At 44.0% G+C, this 21483-nt stretch overlaps 1 protein-coding gene across 1 annotated transcript; it reads left to right on the top strand.

Moving 5' to 3' along the window:
* Positions 1–13493: 13493 nt before the first annotated feature.
* Positions 13494–21130, top strand: LOC124905962 (collagen alpha-2(I) chain-like). Its single transcript, XM_047446892.1, has 3 exons — positions 13494–13581; positions 16906–18146; positions 18720–21130. Exons 1-2 carry the CDS (start codon positions 13494–13496, stop codon positions 18063–18065), a joined length of 1248 nt encoding a protein of 415 aa, XP_047302848.1. The 3' UTR covers positions 18066–18146; positions 18720–21130.
* The last annotated feature ends 353 nt before the right edge of the window (positions 21131–21483 follow it).

Below are 21483 nucleotides of genomic sequence, written 5' to 3' on the forward strand. Positions count from 1 at the left end.
GGTAATTTCTAAAGCAAAGAGATTTAATTGACTCCCAGTTCTACATGCTGGGGAGGCCTCAGGAAACTTAACAATCATGGCAGAAGGCAGAGGGAAGCAAGCTTGGGCCTTCTTCACGTGCCAGCAGGAGAGAGTGAAGAGGGAATGGGGCGGAGCCCCTTATAAAACCATCAGATCTCGGGAGAACTCACTCACTATCACGAGAATGGCATGGGGGGAACCGACCCCATGATCCAATCACCTCCCACCAGGTCTCTCCCTGGGCACATGGGGATTATAAAGATTACAATTCAAGATGAGAATTGGGTGGGAACAAAGGCAAATCATATAATTCTGCCCCTGGCCTCTCCCAAATCTCATGTCCTCACATTTTGAAACACAGTCCTCCAAATCCTTAACTCATTCCAGCATTAACCCAAAAGTATAAGTCTAGAGTCTCATTTGAGACAAGGCAAGTCCCTTCCGCCTATGAGCCTGTAAAACCAAAAGCAAGTTTGTTACTTTCAAGATACAATGGGGGTACAGGCATTGGATAAATGCTCCCATTCCAAATGGGAGAAATTGGCCAAAACAAAGAGGCTACAGGCCCCATGCAAGTCCAAAATCCAACAGGGCAGTCATTGAATCTTAAAGCTCCTAAATAGTGTTCTTTGACTCCAGGTCTCACTTGCAGGTCACACTGATGCAAGAGGTGGGCTCCCTGGTCTTGGGCAGCTCTGCCCTGTGGCTTTGGAGGGTACAGCCCACTTCCTGGCTGCTTTCATTGGCTTGTGTTGAGTGTCTGTGGCTTTTCCAGGTGCATGGTACAAGTTGTTGGTAGATCTACCAATCTGGGGTTTGGAGGATGGTGGCCCTCTTCTCACAGCTCCACTAGGCAGTGCCCCAGTAGAGACTCTGTGTGGGGACTCCAACCCCTTTTCCTCCAACTCCATTTCCCTCTGCACTGCCCTAGCAGAGGTTCTCCATGAGGGCTCCATCCCTGCAGCAAACTCTTGCCTGGACACCCAGGCATTTCTATACATCCTCTGAAATCTAGGTGGAGGTTTCCAAATCTTAATTCTTGACTTCTGTGCACCCACAGGACCAACACCGCGTGGAAGCTGCCAAGGCTTGGGGCTTACACCCTTCTGAAGCAATGGCCTGAGCTATAAACTGGCCCCTTTTAACCATGGCTGGGATGCAGGCCACCAAGTCCCAAGAATGCATGAAGCAGCAAGACCCATTTTTTCTTTCTAAGCCTCTGAGCCTGCAATGGATGGGGTGCTGCTGTGAAGGTCTCTGTCATGCCTTGGAGACATTTTGCCCATTTTCTTGACAATTAACATTTAGCTCCTTGTTACTTATGCAAATCTCTGCAGCCAGCCTGAGTTTCTCCCCAGAAATTGGGTTTTTCTCTTCTATCACATCTTTAGGCTGCAAATTTTCCAGACTTTTATGCTCTGCTTCCCTTTTAAGCATACATTCCAATTCCAAACCATCTCTTTGTGAATGAATATAACTGCATGCTTTTAAGAGCACCTAGGTCACATTTTGAGTGCTCTGCTGCTTAGAAATTTCTTCCACCAGATACCCTAAAGCATCTCCATCAAGTTGTAAGTTCCACAGATCCCAGGGCAGGGGCAAAATGCCAGCAGTCTCTTTGCTGAAGCAGAGCAAGAGTCACTTTTGCTCCAGTTCCCAACAGGTTCCTCATCTCCATCGTCACCTTTGCTCCAGTTCCCAATAAGTTCCTCATCTCCATCTGAGAGCACCTCAGCCTGGACTTCATTGTTCACATCACTACCAGCATTTTCGTAGTCTCTAGGAAACTCCAAACTTTCCCACATCTTCTTGTCTTCTTCTGAGCCCTCTGACTGTTACAGCCTCTGTCCATTAACGAGTTCCAAAGTCACTTCCACATTTTCAAGTATATTTATAGTAGCACTCCAATCTTGGTACCAATTTACCTTATTAGTCCATTTTCACACTGCTGTAAAGAAATACCTGAGACTGGGTAATTTATAAAGGAAAGAGGTTTAATTGACTCACAGTTCCACCTGGCTGGGGAGGCCTCAGGAAACTTACAATCATGGGGGAAGGTGAAAGATAAGCTTGGACCTTCTCAGATGGCAGCAGGAGAGAGGAGTGAGGAGTGAAGGGGGAAGAACTCCTTATAAAACCATCAGGTCTCCTGAGAACTCACTAGCATGAGAACAGCATGGGGGAAATATTCCCCATAAGCCAACCACCTCTGACCAGGTGTTTCCCTAGACACATGGGTATTATGGGGATTACAGTTCAAGATGAGAATTGGGTGAGGACAAAGCCAAACCATATCATGACGCTTTCAAATACAGGATCTTCTCCAGCTTTTCTGGCTAATTTTTGGAGGCTAGTTTTTCACAGACCCTTGGTGAGACAAGCAAACTTGGAAGCTGAGGCTGAACTGAAAGTCATGACAGAATAGTAGCTGAGTGGATCTGCCAGCCCCTCACTTTCCTCAGGCGCAGCATTCCAACATTATTGAAGGAATCCATAAGTCAGGCTCCTGGAGGCCGTGCAGGACAGAAAGTGATTGTACATTCATGGTTAATTTGAGTCTTACAATGATAACCAGGAAAAATGGTTTATTAGTAGTTTAGCAGAACTGGTCCTCAATCTGATGTCTTCTGATGTCATATCCTAAAGCAGCGGCCCTCGATCTTGACTACACATTGGAATTAGCTGAGAATCTTTGAAAACACACCAGTGATTGGTCTGGCCCCAGAGCACCTGACTTAGAATCGTCCCTGGGTTGGTTATCAAGGGAATGAAGACAGAGAAAACTCAAATGCCTGCAGGGCCTGAAGTCTGGGACTCCAGTGGTAATTTCAAAAGAGACCTTGGCATTTCAGTGGTTCCACAGTGGCAGGAAGCATGCAGGTGTGGAGTGTGGATGTGTGGCCATCTCTTCCATCCATGCTCAGCTCCAGCCATAGTGTAGGACTGTGTGGCTGAGGAGAAAAAGTAATATGTGTATGAGTTATAAATTTGCTGGGCAAAAGTTAAGCTTTCAAAATCTTAAATGCAGATTTTGCAAAAATATCCCAAAACATTAGCTTATGAAGTGCCACGTTTTGCCGTGCTTTTACAATCATAAAGCTTTGGACGAAATGCAGCTGCATCGTAAAATGTGTTGCTGCCAATATTGTCATTCATGCAGTGGACAGCAATTACATTATGTGTTGAACTAAACACTTCCAAAGGAAATGCGATGAGGCCCAGGGAGCCCCAGTTAGAAGTCATCCTTCAGGCCTCAGGACACATGGAGCTCACAGCCTGTGTGATGTGCTGGGTGGAGACAGTGCCACAGACAGTCAGCAGGAAGAACAGACCATGCTTGGTCTCTGTGCAGATGGTGGCGATCCAACCTTCCACATAGCACCTGACCTCTCCTGGCCATCTGACTGTAGGGTTGTAAGTTCACAGTTGTGAAATTTAAGAATGAAAAAGCAGCCCCTGACAGCCAGGAGTGGCCTTGTGCCTTGGGGACATGCTTTGTACTCTCCTGTTGGACAACTCGGAGAACATAAACATCAGACAATGCCAATCATGATTTAAGACAAAAACGACCCCCCAGTAATCATCCAGAGTACAGACAAAACGGGAACATTGTTCAAGCCACAGAATCCCCAATCCCCTCTTCTAGCTAATGTGAGGGGTGGCTACATCTTTACCAGTTCTGCCCAGTCTCGTCTTCCCTCTTCCTAAAGGGGATATATTTGAGACCAAATTGTAAAATTACTCCTGCTTCCTGAGGAGATCCAATCCACAGAAAATCCTGCTTCCTTAACCCCACCCCCAAATTACCAAGCACAAGCCAAACCCTATGATAAGTCCTTCCTGACACCCCCTTCCTGACAACCTGCGGCTCCCCAGGGTGAGTCCTCCCTGCTGCAACCATTCATGAGCCCAGCTGTCCAACTGCAGGTGTGCTCCTGGGGTGTGGCTGGAAGGCATTAACGGCATTTATACAACCGAAATTACCCTTGATTCTGTGAGTTAGACATAATATGCTAGGGGACATGTGTGGAATTAACACAGTCATTCATTTCTAAAACTTGAATTAAAGGAATGTGGTCCACGGTTCAGGGGAAGCTTGTTAGTTATTTATCAAGCAAGATGCTATAAAAGATCAAATCTTATTTTGCTGCTGGGCACAGGTGGTGAAGCTCCTTTAAATCTTCAGCCACTGCTTGAGTAGTCGTGTTTGATGTAATAGTGATGACGCCACTTTGCAAAACAGGAAGAGCAATAAAATTAAATGTTAGTGCTTTTGAGAAATACTGACAACGCACTTTCTGGAGTTGACCTGGCCAATAATCATGCTGTGGAAACCTTAACTGACCCAAACCAGTGGACCTTTTTCCTTGTGTGGACCTCACATACATGTCTGTCCCTGTGCCTCCGGGTCCCAGCAGAATGCATGCCAGAGAGTGTCACCCTTACTATAAAGGCTAACACGACTGAGGCTCACTCTGGATTGGCTGCGTCTGGTTTCAGGGTGTTAGTTTAATTGACCGTGGCTGTATTATGGGCAAGAAGCAGAAGCGCAACTCCACTTCAGCCTGTGAGCAGCAAGGAAGGGCTGGTGACCCTCTCAGCTACCCCGGCTGGTGCTCAGTCCCTGTCCCAGTGGCTCCGGATGCCAGGTCCTCCTCAGAACCCCCCCCAAAACCCTCCAAGCCCACGTCTACTCTCCCTGCAGCTCAACCCCTCACCTGCACTAGCCCTGCTGTGAGATGACCATGTGTCTGATGGGTCCTCACTCAGAAAGACTTATTTGCATTCGGCCACGTCCTCCAAAGCATGTCTTTGGACAGGACTTCATCCCTCACGGCACGTTTCATAGGTTCCTCAGTGGCAGGAAGCATGCAGGTGTGGAGTGTGGAAGTGTGGCTGTGTCTTCCATACACACTCAGCTCCAGCCGTAGTGTAGGACTGTGTGGCTGAGGCGAAAAAGTAATATGCATATGAGTTATGAATTTGCTGGGCAAAAGTTAAGCTTTTAAAATCTTAAATGCAGATTTTGCAAAAATATCCCAAAACACTAGCCTATGAAGTGCCATGTTTTGCCGTGCTTTTACAATCATAAAGCTTTGGACGAAATGCAGCTGCATCGTAAAATGTGTTGCTGCCAATATTGTCATTCATGCAGTGGACAGAAATTACATTATGTGTTGAACTCAACACTTCCAAAGCAAATAGTTTTCTAATTATTGAAGCCATCTTTTGATGATACTGGATATTCAATCTTTTCAAAGTTTTGTAAATGAGAAGTTTTTTTAAATAGAGTTCTTGCTGAGTTTATGGAATCTTGTTTTATTTCCCTCCTCTGACTTAAAAAAAAACTTTCTTTTTAAATCCCTCAAGTTTTAAATGTGGGATGTAGGAGGAGGCATGTTATTGGATGACTCAATTGTGTGAAAGAGTTATGGTCCAGGTGAGAGGGGACTGATGTGTAACAAAGCCGACATGACTTTTCAAACTAAACAACCAAAAAGATGCTGAAGAGTAAGGTCAATGATGATTAAATAAACAAATGTCTTTGAAGAATCGCAGCTAATCTAGGCACAGCAGTAAGGCCAAAAGGAAATATTATCTGAAAGTTCTCGTGTAGGCTCTGTGCCCAAATATAAGGAACGGTTCATCCAACAACACCTGGGCATGTCAGCTTATGATGCCGTGGGAAATACATACACGTGTGTCCGTTCCCCATTCACCAGTGCATGGCATTTTTTACAGGAAATGGAGATATTTGGGTACAGAGAAAAAAGGACATACTCTCTTCTTTAAAAAATCCTTTGTCTAACAGGCTGTGGAAAAATCAGTTGACACGAGTTAGATGTGCGACATGGACTGCTACTGTGCACGCAGAGACGGAGGAGCTCAGAGGAACAGTGCGTTTATTCTGCATAAGCAGAGGTCACAGCAGCCGCCTATGTGGCCTCTTTTATAACAGCCCTGAAGAGGCCAGGCATGCTGGCTCGGGCCTGTAATCCCAGCACTTTGGGAGGCCGAGGTGGGCAGATCATCTGAGGTGAGGAGTTCGAGACAAGCCTGGCCAACATGGTGAAACCCCATCCCTACTAAAAATACAAAAATTAGCTGGGCGTGGTGGCAGACACCTGTAGTTCCAGCTACTCAGGAGGCTGAGGCAGGAGAATCACTTGAACCTGGGAGGCAGAGGTTGCAGTGAGCCAAGATCACGCCACTGCACTCCAGCCTGGGGGACAGAGTGAGACTCTGTCTCAAACAAACAAACAAACAACAACAAAAAAAACCAGCCCTGAAGAAAGAAGACTTGGGGTTTACAGAGCAGAGGACTTTCAACGCAAGGATGCCCTGTGTCAGTGTGCAGAGGCTCAGAAGCACTGCTCTTTTGAAGAAAAGGTGAGTCACCCACACGAATCCATTACTCCAAGCAGAATCTTAATGTCCTTCCTATTGTGTTCTCTTTCCTCACACAAACACCACCAGCAATGCCTCGAAATTCTGTCTCCAACATATCTACAGACTCTACAGCATTCTCACCATCCTGACCACCATCCTCCACTGTCTACACCACCATCCTCATCCACACCACCATCCTCCAGTGTCCACACCACCAACCTCCACTGTCTAAACCACCATCCAACAATCCGCACCACAACTCTTACCATCCATAACATAATCCACTAGTGTCTACATCATCATTCACACTGTCCACACCACCATCACCACAAACACAACCATCCTCACCGTCTGCTCCACCATCCTCCCCCATCCACACTGTCCACACTATCATCCTTACCATCCCTGCCACCATCTTTGCCATCCACACAACCATCTTCCACCATCCAAACCACCACCCTCACCATCCACACCACCATCCTCGTCATCCACACCACCATCCACCAGTGTCTACACCATAATTCTCACTGTTCACCTCTACATTCTCACCATCCACACCACCATCCTCACTGTCCACACCACCATCCACCAGTGTCTACACCACCATCCTCTACTGTCTATGCTACCATCCTCCACCATCCACACCCCCATCCTCACCATTTACATCATCATCCTCACCCTCCACTCCACCATTCTCACTGTCCCCACCAGTATCCCCACCGACCGTCCACATCACTATCCTCACTGTCCACACCACCATCCTCACCATCCACACCATCATCCTCACTGCCACACCACCATTCTCACTGTCTACACCACCATCCTCACTGTCCACACCACCATCCTCACTGTCCACACCATCATCCTCACTGCCACACCACCATTCTCACTGTCCACACCACCATCCTCACAGTCCACACCATCCTCCACTGTCTGCACCACCATCTTCACTGTCCACACCACCATCTTCACTGTCCACACCACCATCCTCATTGTCCACACCACCATCCTCACAGTCCACACCATCCTCCACTGTCCACACCAACATCCTCACTGTCCACACCACTGTCCTGCACTGTGCTTTACCACTGTGTTCATTCCTTTTTATCTTGGCTTTTTAATAATTTGGATATTATTTTTATGTTTCACTTGAGATGGTGATCTGTATAGATTTATCTCTCCCATCCAAAATATTTCTATAAAATCCCATAACTAATCTGGAAATTTTTCATCAGTTTCTTAGTGAAGAGCAGATAGAGGCTGATATTGGAACCTACCGCACATGATTTATAGATTCTCATCTTTGAAACCACACAGTCAACTGACACAATCCCCATTATGTAATATGGGTTTCACATTTATTACCAATACCTTTTTCCAGATTTATTGAGGTGTAATTGACAAAACTCTATATATTTGTATATACACAATGTGGTGTTTTGAAATAAGTAAATTTTGTGAGATGATTACTATAATCAAATTAGTTAACACATCCATGACATCTCATCATATAGTTACCTTTTTGGGTGTGTAGAGAATGAGAATATTTATGATCTACCATCTTAGTAAATTCCAAGTATACATTGTACAAATATATGTACATACAAATAATACATTATTATTAACTATGGTGACCATGATAAACATTAGGTCTTCAGAACTTACTCATCTGATAAATGAACTTCGTACCCTTTGACCAACATCTCATCATTTTTCCACTCCCTGCCCCAGTTCCTGATAACCACTCTTCTACTCTGCTTCTATGAGTTTGACTGTTTTTAGATTCCTCAGACAAATGAAATCATACAGTATGTGTCTTTCTGTGTCTGGCTTGTTTCACTTAGCATAATATACCCAGGTTTTTTCATGTTGTTGCAAATGACAAAATTCCTTCTTCTTTAAGGCTGAATAATATTCCATCATATGACATCCCTTTACCCATTCATCCATCAATGGACACTTAGGTCATTTTGATACCTTGGATATTGTGAATGGTCCTGCAGTGAGTGTGGGAGTGCAGACATGTCCTCCAGATAGTGCTTTTATTTTCTTTGGATAATACATGAATGGACTATTGGTGGTTATGATGACAGTTTATTTTCAATTTTTAAAAAATGGTTTCATACTGTTTTCTATCATTGCTGTACCAGTTTACACTTTCACCACCAGTATACAAGGATTCAATTTTTGCCAAATCCTCACCAACATCTTCTGACTTTTGGGTATTAGCCATCTTAACAGGTGGGATATTATCTCATGTGGTTTTGAGTCTCATCTCTCTCACAATTAGTGATGCTGAGCACCTCCTCATAGACCTCTAGGTCATTTGTATGTCCTCTTTGGAAAAATGTCTATTCAGATCCTTTGCATTTTTAAATTGGGTTATTTGCTTTTTTTTTTTTTTTTTGGCTCTTGACTTGTATGAGTTCCCTATGTATTTTGGACATTAGCCCCTTATGTGATATAGGATTTGCAAATGTTTCCCCTCATTTTGTCTCAGGTTGTTTCCACTCTGTCAATTGTTTCCTACACAGAAGCTTTTTTAGTTTGATGCAATCCCATTTCTCTATTTTTGCTTTCCTTGCCTGTGCTTCTAGTGTCACATCCAAAAATCATTGCCAAGACCAATGTCATGGATCTTTTCCCCATGTGATTTTTTTAAAGAGTTTTGTGGTTTCAGTTCTCATGTTTAAATCTCTAATCTATTTTGAGCTGATTTGTATGTGTAAGCTAAGAATCTTAATTTTTTTTTAAGTGTTGATGTTACGTTTTCCCAACACCATCTATTGAAGAGACTCTCCTTTGCCCATTGTGTATTCTTGGTCTCTTTGCTAATGATTAGTTGACTATAAATGCATGGATTTATTTCTGGACTTTTGTTATGTTCCATTGGTCCATGCATCTGTTTCCACTGGTCTGTGTGGTACTAACCATACTGTCTTGATTACCATAGCTTTGCAATATAATTTGAAATCAGAAAGTGTGACACCTCCAGCTTTGTTCATTTTCCTCAACATTGATTTAGCTATTTGGGATCTTTTGTGATTCCATACAAATTTTAGAATAGATTTTTTTTTAAGTTCTCTGAAAATGCCATTGAAATTTTGACAGAGATTATATTTAACATGTAGATCATGTTGGATAGTGATGCTATTTTGACAATATTTATTTTCTGATGCTTGAACATGGAGTATCCATTTATTTATGGAAATAAATTAAAACTATTATGCATAGTATTTTTGCATCTACATTCATCAGGTATATAGACGTAATTTTCTTTTCTTGTAATGTCCTTGTCTGACTTTGGTATTAGGGTAATGCTGGCTTCATAACATGAGTTTGGAATTCTTCCCTACTCTTCAAGGTTTTGGGAAAGTTTGAGAAAGATGGTGTGAATTTTTCTTTAAATACCTGGTAGAATTCACCAGCAAAGCCATCAGATCCTGGGTTTTTCTTTGGTGGGCAATTTTTGATTACTGATTCAATCTCCCTAATTACTGGTCCATTCAGATTTTCTATTTCCTCATAATTCAGTCTTCATATGTTGTATCTTTCTAAGAATTGGTTTGTTTCTTCTAGGTTACCCATTTGATAGAATGTAATTGTTCATTGTAGTCTGTACTGATCCTTTGCATTTATATGGTATGTTTTAATGTATCCTCTCTCGTTTTTATTCATTTGACTCCTCTCTTTTTCTTTATTACTCTAGCAAAAAGTTTGTTAATTTTGCTTATCTTTTCAACAAAAACCCCAACTCTTAGTTTTGTTGATGTTTTCTATTGTTTTTCTAGACTCTATTTCATTTACATTTTTGCTGGTCCTTGTTGTTTCCTTTCTTCTACTAACTTTGGGCTTAGTTTGTTCTTTTTTTCAGTTCCTTCAAGTATAACGTTAGGTTATTTAGGTATTTTTTTCATGTAGGCATTTAATACTATAAACTTATTACAACAGATTTTGCTGCATCCTATAAGTTTTTTTACATCATATTTCCATTATTTGTCTCATGTTATTTTCAATTTTTATTTCTTTGACCAATTGGCTGCTCAGGAATGGGTTGTTTAATTTTCACATATTTTTGAATTTTCCACTTTTCCTGTTATTGATTTACAATTTCATACCATTGTGGTTGGAAAAGATGTTTGATATAATTTAAAAATTATTAAGACTTGTTCTGTGGCCTAACAGATGATGTATCCTGGAGTGTGTTTTGAGTGTCTTGTGAGGAATAAGTATTCTGCTGCCACTGGATGGAATGTTCTGTATATGTCTGTGGGTACGTTTAGTCTAAAGTGTAGATCAAGTCCAATGTTTCCTTGTTGGTTTTCTATCTAGATGATCTGTGCATTATTGAAAATGGGGCGTGTGTCAAAGCCCCTTATATTACAGACTATTTATCCTTTCAAATATGTTAATATTTGCTCCTATATTTAGGTGCTCTGATATTGGATGCATATATGGTTATCATTGTTAGATCCTCTTGATGAATTGACCCCATTATCATTATATAATGACCTTCTTTGTTTCTTGGTATAGTTTTTGACTTAAAGACTATTTTGTCTACTATAAGTATAGCCACCCTTGCTATTTTTTGGTTTCCAATTGCATAGAATATATTTTTCCTTTCTTTCATTTTCAGCTTATGTGTGTTCTTAAAGCTGAAATGAGTCTCTTGTAGGCAGCAGGTGGTTGATCTTGTTTTTATTTTTTAATCAATTTAGCCCATCTATGTCTTTTGATTGGAAAATTTAACCCATTTATATTCAAGGCAATTATTGACAGATAAGGATTAACCATTGCCCATGTGTTAATTGTTTTCTGGCTTTTCTGTAGACCTTTTGTTTCTTTCTTCCTCTCTTGTTGTCTTTCTTCATGATTTGATGCTTTTCTGAAGTAGTATCCTTTGATTCCTTTATCTTTTGTGTATCTACCATAGTTTGCTTTGTGATGATTAAGAGGCCTAAGTAAAACGTTTTATAGTTATATCAACCTATTTTAAATTGATAACAACTTAACTTCAATTGAATCAAAACATTCTGCACTTTTACTCCCGCTCTCAGCATTTTATATTCTTGATGTCACAATTTACATATTTTTATGTGTGTATCCATTAACAAATGTTTCTAGCTATAGTGATTTTAATATTTCTGTCTTTTAATATTTTAATAGGGTTATAAGTTATTTACACATCGTTATATCGTTAAAGTATTCTGAATTTGACTACATGTGTTTACCAGTCAGTTTTGTACTTTATATTTTCATGTTGTCAGTTAGTGTCCTTTTGTTTCAACTTGAAGAACTCCCTTTAGCATTTCTTGTGAGGCAGTTATATTGGTGCTGAACTTTTTCATCTTTTGTTTGACTGGGAAAGTCTTCATCTCTTCTTCATTTCTAAAAGACTGCATTTCCAGGTGAAGTCTTTTTGCTTGTCAGATTGAGGTTTATTTTTTTTTTTCTTTTTTTCATCATTTCAAATGTAGCATCTTCCTCTGTCCTGGCCCTCTAGGTTTCTGCTGAAAAATCCTCTAGTAGCCTTGTAGGGGCTCCCTTCTATTTGATTTCCTTTCTTTTATTGCTGCTTTCAAAATTCTCTGTCTTTGATTTTTGAAAGTTTTATTATAATGTGTATTGGTGAAGTCTTCTTTGGGTTGAACTTAATTGGAGACATTTTAGCTTCACATACTTGAATGTCCTTACCTTTTCAAAGATTTGCTAAATTTGAAGCCATTATTTTTAAAAATAAGCTTTCTCCCTCTTTTTCTCTTTTTTAGACCTCTGTAGTATGAATTATAGCTTTCTTGATGGTGTCCCATACATTTTGTAGAATTTCTCAATCTTTTTTTCCCACCAACTGAATGTTTCTAAATGCCATGTCTTCAAGTTTCTTCTGTTTAAGCCAGATATTGATGCTGTCCATTGCCTTTTAAGCTTTCATTAATTTACTCTTCAGCTCCAGAACTTTCATTTTGTTTTTAAAAGGATTTTTATATCTGTATTGAGCCTCTTATTTTATTTATGTATTACTTTTAAATTTTGTTGAGTGTCTGTGTTCTGTTGTAGCTCACCAAGCCTCCTTAACACAATTATTTTGAATTTTTCTGGCCGTTTGTATATCTCCATTTCTCTAGCGTTGGTTATAGGAATATTATTATGCTCCTTTGGTGGTGTCATGTTTCCTTGATTGTTTCATGTTCCTCGAAGTCTTGCATTGATGTTGGCACATTTGAAGAAGCGGTCACCTCCTTCAGTCTTTACTGACTTGCTTCAGGAGAGAAATACCTTCACCAATCAGCTCTGTTTTGGATTCTGAGGCTATATGAGATCTTTTTTGTGCATGCATCTGCTTAATCCCTCATATTCCTTCTTGACAGGAAGTTCTTAAGATTGTATGCCTTCTGATTGTGCAAAGTCCAGGACAGGTGCTAAAAGCCTCCCATTTGTTTTCTCCAGTGTGATGCCCTGAAATGCTGATGTATGTGTGTCTTCTCCAAATTCTGCCGAGTTGAGCTGAGTGTCCGCTGGCTATGCTTGCACGCGCTGTCTGCAGGGGCATGCTTGGGAAGCCAGCTTAGGTACGGGGGAGACGAGCTGTATGTAGTCCTTGGGGTGCCCATGGGTCTGTTTGGGGGGTCCACATGTGGGTGTCCTGGGTGATTTATGGGCGGGCTTCCTCATGGAGTCTGCAGAATGTTGGTAGAGCACCCATCTCTCTTCTCTGCTCCCAGTATCTCCCAACTACACAGCCGTGCTGTTAACCTCAGTGTTCCAGGTGGAGCAAGAAAAAGGTGGGCCTCTTGGGCAGAGTCCGCCAGTGCTGGGGGGGCTGGGTGCTTACTCACTATACTCTCACTTTCCCCCATCAGGGAGATCATGGGCTGAGGGGGTTCCCCTTGGCACCGAGCTATGCTGCCTGGCAGGAGGAGTGAGGCAGATAAGCTGAAACTGTGCTTTTTGCCCACTTCAAAGCATTCATTCTTGGATTTTTTGTTCTTTCAGTGTGCTGGACCTTCTCTTGCGTGGTTAGTTGTAAAACTTGATGCTTCTGCAGGCAGATGATGGCAGAAAGCTCCCACCCCACCACGCTGATGACGGCAGAAAGCTCCCGCCCCACCACGCTGATGACGGCAGAAAGCTCCCGCCCCACCACGCTGATGATGGCACTCTCGTTGGGTGGTTGTGTGGTCTTCATACAATTTCAGGGTAAATCGCCACTTGATGTCATTGCTAAATGGGATACCTGAGCTATGATGATTTTGCCTGATTGTTAAAGTTAGTATTTTAAGACCAAAGATGGACAAAATACGTTAAAATTGTCTGTAAAAAGGCACATTTCTGAATTTGCTTTTAATACTTTAAAAGATATAAAGCTGTTGTATTATAACAGGAAGGATTGCTACAAGAACAGATCTGTCAGAAAACAAAACCGCATCTTGAATTGAAATGGAAAATGAAATTTAGCTACACTTCGTATGTATGTGTGCATGCAATTTATATATTTATATTAATTTTTTTTTCAATGAGAGGAGCTTTGTCGGTGACCTCAATCCTAATAATTGTGCATTTCCACCTTCTGTGTTTCCCTGGAGAGCAAAACCATTCTGACTAAGCGCCTGTCAGGGCTGAAATACACTAACCAATTTTGTCAGCAGGCTTTTAAAAATAATGTTCTTGGGAATCTAACATGATCAACAATTCTATTGCTTTGGGGAAATAACTCATGCTTCAGACCTTGAAATTATGTTCCCAAGAAAGCGTTGTTTCTGAAGCAGGCAGCATCTGTTTTTTATTGGGGTCTTGCCTCTACCTAATTGTGTGGCTGGTTTGAGAGATGAAGAACATTTCAGATATCTGGCTGAGATAACAGGTGACCAAGGAAATTCACTTCAGTGTGAACCGGAGAGCTCTTAGAGGCAGCTGTGGTTCCCTTGTTGCTGTATTAAGCCATACGTACTGCAATGTCACATTCATTTACAAAGTACTGCAATGTCACATTCATTTACAAAATGTGTTGTAACTTTCACGAAAGCTAATTGCAAACTGGGAAGTCCACACTTTTCTACTGTGAGATGGACACAAGGCAAGAGAGGAGTTTATCCATTTGTTTGTTTTCTTAACAAACATTTACTAAACACCTAATAAAGTGCCTGCCTTCAGGAAGCCCAGATTAAAGCAAGTGAGACAAGCACCCTTACTGGGGCTGATGCCGCACAGTGCTGTGGACAGAAGGTCTGTGTGAGCACCAGGCATGGATTGGGTGTGTTAGCCTCGGGACAGAGAAGCTGCTCTTCTTCCTCCTGTTCCCTTATGAGCATTTCCTGAACGACCCCAAACACTGGGACTTCATATTGCCAACTCCAAACATTGCTTTCCATGATTGCAGCCTCCGTGACCTACAGACCCAGGTCAAATCCTGTATACATGAAGTTCCTTCTGAATTTCTTCCCATTCTTCACCCCAGTAGTCATTACTTAACGCAAGTGCAGTGATGTTCCAGACATGTCCCACCCAGATTCTCCCTAGGCTGCCTGCCACATGAGTGAGTTTTCCACGTTATATGTGGGGCAGTGAGGTCCTTTTCATGGCTCTCCATAACCCTTAGGATAAAGCTTATACTATTTAGCTGTATTTATCTAATTTGATGTATTTTATTCACAGAAATTATTTATATTCTCCAAATATGCCATGCATTTACATAAATTTGTGTCTCCAGAAATGGTATTTCCTTTTCCTAGAATGCCAGCAATCCGTGTTTTCACCCTGCTAGCTTCTTTATCTCCATTAAGTTCTCTCTCAAGCTCTACTTTTTACTAAACCATCCCTAAGCACGTAGTCTTGTTTGGACACCGGTCCCTACGATCCCGCTGTTTCCCTTAGCGTGGGACAGGGTGAGTGTTTTGGTTGTTTGCGTGTCTAGTTGGTTGCTGTTAGTATTTTAGTTTTGGTCTGTCTCAGTAACATTCTTAGGGGCAGCTGGGGATACAGTTAATATATCTTTATAATCCTGTGTTCTTTATAGAAAAGCAATATATTTTGTAAAATGAATGAACGAATGCTTCCATGTATCCAGGAAGAGTACTGTGTCCCTGGGAGGGTAAGACATGGGCAGTTTCTCCAGCATCCCCGCCGTGTTATGGTCTCCATGACCTCATGGCACATGGTGCGTTCATGGCCACTCCTTGATGTCCTTTCAGATTCCTGGTCTTTTTCCTGAGGAAAAGACAGATGTACACTGTAGCATCTGTGAATACGCATGCATTCAACATAGAACCCTAAAAATTATGGGATTGAAAGTGTAGTATTATTCAGCCATAAAAAAGACGTGATGATGTCCTTTGCAGAGACATGGATGAAGCTGGAGATCACTATCCTCAGCAAATTAACACAGGAGCAGAAAACCAAACACCACACGTTCTCACTTACAAGTAGGAGATAAATGGTGGAACACAGGGACACATAGACGGGAACAGCAGACACTGGGGCCTAGGAGGAGGGAGAGAACCAGGAAAAGTAACTAACGGGCACTAGGCTTAATACCCGGGTGATGAGATAATCTGTACAGCAAACCCCCATGACACAGTGTAGCTATGTAACAAACCTGAATTTGTACTCTGAACTTAAAAAACAAAAGTATAGTTTACAGAACTTATTATAGTATCACACAAAAGTCAATGCTGTCCCACCACCCATGTGCCCACAGAGCAGAGCTGGAAAGCTCACAGTCCCCAGTCTGTGGACGTCCTGATCTTTGTGTTCTCTGAGAAAAGCTGGGTTTTCTGTCTTCTTCCTGTCTGTGTATTCATCACTCAGGATTTAGCCTTTCCCACTTTTTTGTTTTTTGCTTTTTTCTTTGTTGTCGTTGTTTAAATCCTGTAAGGAAGTTGGAATTGTAGAAGCTCCGTCAGTGCCTCAGTTCTGTAAAGAGCTGTCTCTATATCCACGGCAAGACTTTCTAGAGTTAGCTGAAGTTTTGAATTTTAAACTCCCAGTTCTCAATATTTCTAGCCACATTTTTGTAAAAACTAGGTCATGAGATGAGGCTGGCTTGGGGATGCTGCAGTGGTTCCTACTGGGCTTGAAATCCTCTGAAACCAGAGGACATGCCTTAAACATCCAGGCTTCTCTTTCCTCCAAGTGCTAAGTTCCCTTTAAAATACAGCCGCTTGCTACGAAAACACAGTCAGTTAACATAATATCCCTGGGTTCATGTGGACCTTTAATATCTGCTTTTGAGACTGAGACAAATTGTGAGAGCTGACTCACAAACACTTGCTTTTGAATCTGAAAATGCTACATAATTTTAAGGTAAAAGGCCCACAGTATAGCATTCAGAAATAACTTTTAAACCATATGTGCCCAGATACATTGTAAATTACACTCCAGATGTGTCCTTTCCATGAACTGTAACATGTTGGAGACATAGCCCTTGAAACGGAGTTACTCAGTCCAATATAAAATAAAATTCCCAAACCAAAGAAAATTAAAAACTTTTGCCTGGAGGCACTGCTGCGCACAGCCTGTGGCTAGACGAGGTTCCCGTGGGTTTGCCTGGAGGCGTTGCTGCACGCAGCCTGTGGCTAGACGAGGTTCACGTGGGTTTGCCTGGAGGCGTTGCTGCGCGCGGCCTGTGGCTAGACGAGGTTCACGTGGGTTTGCCTGGAGGCATTGCTGCACACGGCCTGTGGCTAGACGAGGTTCACGTGGGTTTGCCTGGAGGCGTTGCTGCGCGCGGCCTGTGGCTAGACGAGGTTCACGTGGGTTTGCCTGGAGGCGTTGCTGCGCGCGGCCTGTGGCTGGACGAGGTTCACGTGGGTTTGCCTGGAGGCGTTGCTGCGCGCGGCCTGTGGCTAGACGAGGTTCACGTGGGTTTACCTGGAGGCGTTGCTGCGCACGGCCTGTGGCTGGACGAGGTTCACGTGGGTTTGCCTGGAGGCGTTGCTGCGCGCGGCCTGTGGCTAGACGAGGTTCACGTGGGTTTGCCTGGAGGCGTTGCTGCGCGCGGCCTGTGGCTAGACGAGGTTCACGTGGGTTTGCCTGGAGGCGTTGCTGCGCGCGGCCTGTGGCTAGACGAGGTTCACGTGGGTTTGCCTGGAGGCGTTGCTGCGCGCGGCCTGTGGCTAGACGAGGTTCACGTGGGTTTGCCTGGAGGCGTTGCTGCGCGCGGCCTGTGGCTAGACGAGGTTCACGTGGGTTTGCCTGGAGGCGTTGCTGCGCGCGGCCTGTGGCTAGACGAGGTTCACGTGGGTTTGCCTGGAGGCGTTGCTGCGCGCGGCCTGTGGCTAGACGAGGTTCACGTGGGTTTGCCTGGAGGCGTTGCTGCGCGCGGCCTGTGGCTGGACGAGGTTCACGTGGGTTTGCCTGGAGGCGTTGCTGCGCGCGGCCTGTGGCTGGACGAGGTTCACGTGGGTTTGCCTGGAGGCGTTGCTGCGCGCGGCCTGTGGCTGGACGAGGTTCACGTGGGTTTGCCTGGAGGCGTTGCTGCGCGCGGCCTGTGGCTAGACGAGGTTCACGTGGGTTTGCCTGGAGGCGTTGCTGCGCGCGGCCTGTGGCTGGACGAGGTTCACGTGGGTTTACCTGGAGGCGTTGCTGCGCGCGGCCTGTGGCTGGACGAGGTTCACGTGGGTTTTGCTGTGAAGAGGTCTGTCCAGAAGCGGGGGTAGAGAAAGGGTGATTTTTATCGCAGAACAAGTCATGTTGTTTTAATCTCACCAGAAGTTTCATCTAATTTGAAATAGAAAAAGGTTCATTTGTCCATTCATACTTTTTAATAAGTTAGAAAATACTTAGTGAGTGCTTGCTTTGGGCTGGGCATTCTTCTAGTCTCTGTGGATTCAGAGGTGAAAGGTGTGGCCCTGTTGTCCAGGAATTCAGTGTAGGAAGAGGATAATTACAGACCATAGATACGCATGTGCTTTCCTTCTAGAAGGCACGTTCACGCGTATTCTCAGTTTACCTTCGTGAAACGGTGGGGTCACACCGCATGCTGTGTTTATTGTGCTGATGGGGAAATGAAGGGTCCGGGAGGAATGGCCTCGAGGGCCTTCCATCCCCACAGACCCTCCTTGGCTCTTTCTAGGCTCTGCAGGGCTCAGGGTTCTTGCAAGGCCCAGCTCACGTGTGGCCACCTCATTGCTGCCCGGGTAGGGCTCTCTGCGTGATGTCACGTGGCCTTCGTGGTGAGGGGCAGATGAGAACTGTATTTCTTCTCTCTAGTTTTGCTTGGTGTTATTTCAGTTGTATTAATCTTGTGTCCCCAATTCAACTTCACCCTGCCTGAAGGTGAGTTCATGCCTTGAATATCTTTATTTTTTCAGACCAAGCACTACAGATTGAAGCTGGGTGCCTGATGGACACCTGCTCGTGTGCTTCTCTGTAAGTATTTGCATTGTCGCAGCTGCAAGCACCCATTTCGCTGAGAATCACTGTTGCCTCCATGGGGTCCTGTCCTATGGACGACCCCTGTCTAGTTGGGAACTTGGTGCCAGGAGCTCAACTTGCTCCAATGCTTCCCATCCTACTAAGTTCTACGCTGACTACAGTGGTAGGTAACGTCTGTTTTCCTGCAGTGCTTAAATATTGTTTCTACCTCCACCTTCGGCAGCTATGTGGCAGACATTTAATCATTGTTAGGCAAAAAAGACCTAAACGTACTCTGTTAGCTACTGCACCCTGCCTGGATTCCCCAGGCCACATGTCTTAGTTAGCCCCACACAGCTTCAGATATTGTTATTGCTTCTATCCATTCTGCTAAACTGAGCCATGGTTAATAAAAGATGAGAATTGGCAATTTCCAAGTTTCTAAGAGTTTAAAGTTATAGGAAATAAAAGACATGATGTATTCCTCAGAGTAGGCTCACTATTGTAACAACGCCTCCGAATTTTAGTAGCTTACCAAAATAAGAACGTATTGTTCACTTGCATGACTGTCAAACCTAGGCCAGATGAGGGCTGTGCTCCACAACACCGCCCAGGAATCTGGGATCCTCCCCTGGGCTCCAGTAGCTCCATGGACATCTGCAGGTAGAATATAAACAAGGAAGCTGGGAGGAACTGGTGAGATTTCAGAGGAGGCCTAGAGGTGGTGGCCATCACTCTCCCTCCCAGTCTCCTGGCCAGGACTTGGTCACACAGCTGCACCTCACAGCGAGGGGCTGGGGAACGCGGCCTCACCCCGTGTCCAGGAAGAGGAGTGACCTGCCATGGTGAGAATCTCCGCTCCTGAAGAGCACATGATTAGTCATTTACACGTCCTGATGTTGTTGCTCAGGGTCTCCTCCTACCAGGGGAGACAGTGGAAAACTGTGTGCATTGCTCACAGTGAGGAAGCTGGTTCCTTGGCTGGTCTGTGGGTCACATTGCTCATCTTCATGGGGACAGCGGCCACTCTTCACCATGCTTCCTGTTGCTGGATTGCAATGGGAGCCATGCCATCGATGCTTTGGGCAAAATAGCTCATGTATGGCTCCTCGTCAGCTGCATGCAGTGGCACAGATGCACCATGAAGCTTGCAGTTGGGTGTCTGCACCTCTCAAAACCATTTCCAGCTGGACAAGCAGGCCTCTTGGTGCTAATGCACCTGTGAAAGGCAAAGACCCTCTCATCATTCCATGAGCCATATGCTGGCTCTATGTTTTTATGCCTGTCTCCCATAACAGGTGACATTGTTGAGAATGAGTAGCGGGGGGTGTCCGATAGCTGTTACTTTGAAGTAAAAGGAATTCACTGATCCAGCTGCAGTGGGTCCCTAAAGCAAGGGCTGCTTAACACGTATACTCAGGTTGCATGATGGCCGTGGAGTACACTGGACTCAGCACCAGGACCCCATCTCTCATCACCAGCTGTGTGTACGCCTTGGTGAGCTCCTTAAATCTAAACACGTGAGTATCCTTATTTGTCAAAAGAGGATTCAAATTTTAACCCTGCATAACCAAAAATACAGGAATTACTTAATGAAGGGGTTCTTGAGAAGCGATAAACTGAAAGGTAAGTCAAAGCCCCATGGCAAATGCAAATGGCTTGAAAATGCAGGAAATGCTTTCATCCTGGAACATTTGCTGTTCTACCCAAGTCAGGTCTGTGTCTCTGGAGGTGCACACGGAGCTGTCCCTGGTGGCAGCCTCTGCCAAGGACTGTGTGGCCCCGGGGGCAGCCTCTGCTGAGTATTGTGTGTTCCTGGTGGCAGCCTCTGCTGAGTGTTGTGTGTTCCTGGTGGCAGCCTCTGCCAAGGACTGTGTGGCCGCGGGGGCAGCTTCTGCCGAGTGTTGTGTGTTCCTGGTGGCAGCCTCTGCTGAGTGTTGTATTGCTGGTGGCAGCTTCTGCCGACGGCTGCGTGGCCCAAGTGTGCGTCCTGCCTTTTCCTGACTTCCTCTCTCTACTTCCCACTCTCACCCGGCACATGATAAAATGTAATCTACATGAATATTAGGATTTGGATTTCTATCTGGACACGTGATTTACCTATTAATCAGACACCAACCACATGAATGATTATTAGAGGAATATTTAACAAAAGCTACATAAAAACAGTTTTTGAAACTATTTGGACTTCACTTCTCATAACATTCTTAAAAACCAAAGTTCAGTGTGTCTTCCAAAATGAAGAAAAATTACCCTGTTTTACCAATGGTTTTGCGTCGCTAATATCATAAAATGAAGGATGAGTTTTCAAGCCTGAAAGACAGTGTATTTACTAAACAATTTCTTAATAAATTCATTTATTCATGCACCCATTTGTTCATGTGCCCATCCGTGCATTCGTCACTTACCAGACGCCTCCTGATCTCCAGCGCCCGCGATAGGCACTTCCCATCCGGTGAGGTGTATGGCCTGACTCCTGCCCGGGGCACTCATGGCCTTGAGAAGGTACATACAGAAATAACGTCCTAAAATAAGTTCCATGAGCTTATTCCATGAACTTAGCAGGTTCCATGAGCTCATGTTGCAGGGGTTGGAGACTGACTCTGAATTGGGAGCGTTGGCCCCGGGGGTATAGAGTCCAGTCAGGGGTCGGGGAGACTGATGGGGCTGCTTCTGCTGCTGTTCTGCGGCAAATCTAGGACTCAGCAGGAGACATTTTTA

Source organism: Homo sapiens, chromosome 2 (genome assembly GCF_000001405.40).
Source record: "Homo sapiens chromosome 2, GRCh38.p14 Primary Assembly".
Lineage (NCBI taxonomy): Eukaryota > Metazoa > Chordata > Mammalia > Primates > Hominidae > Homo > Homo sapiens.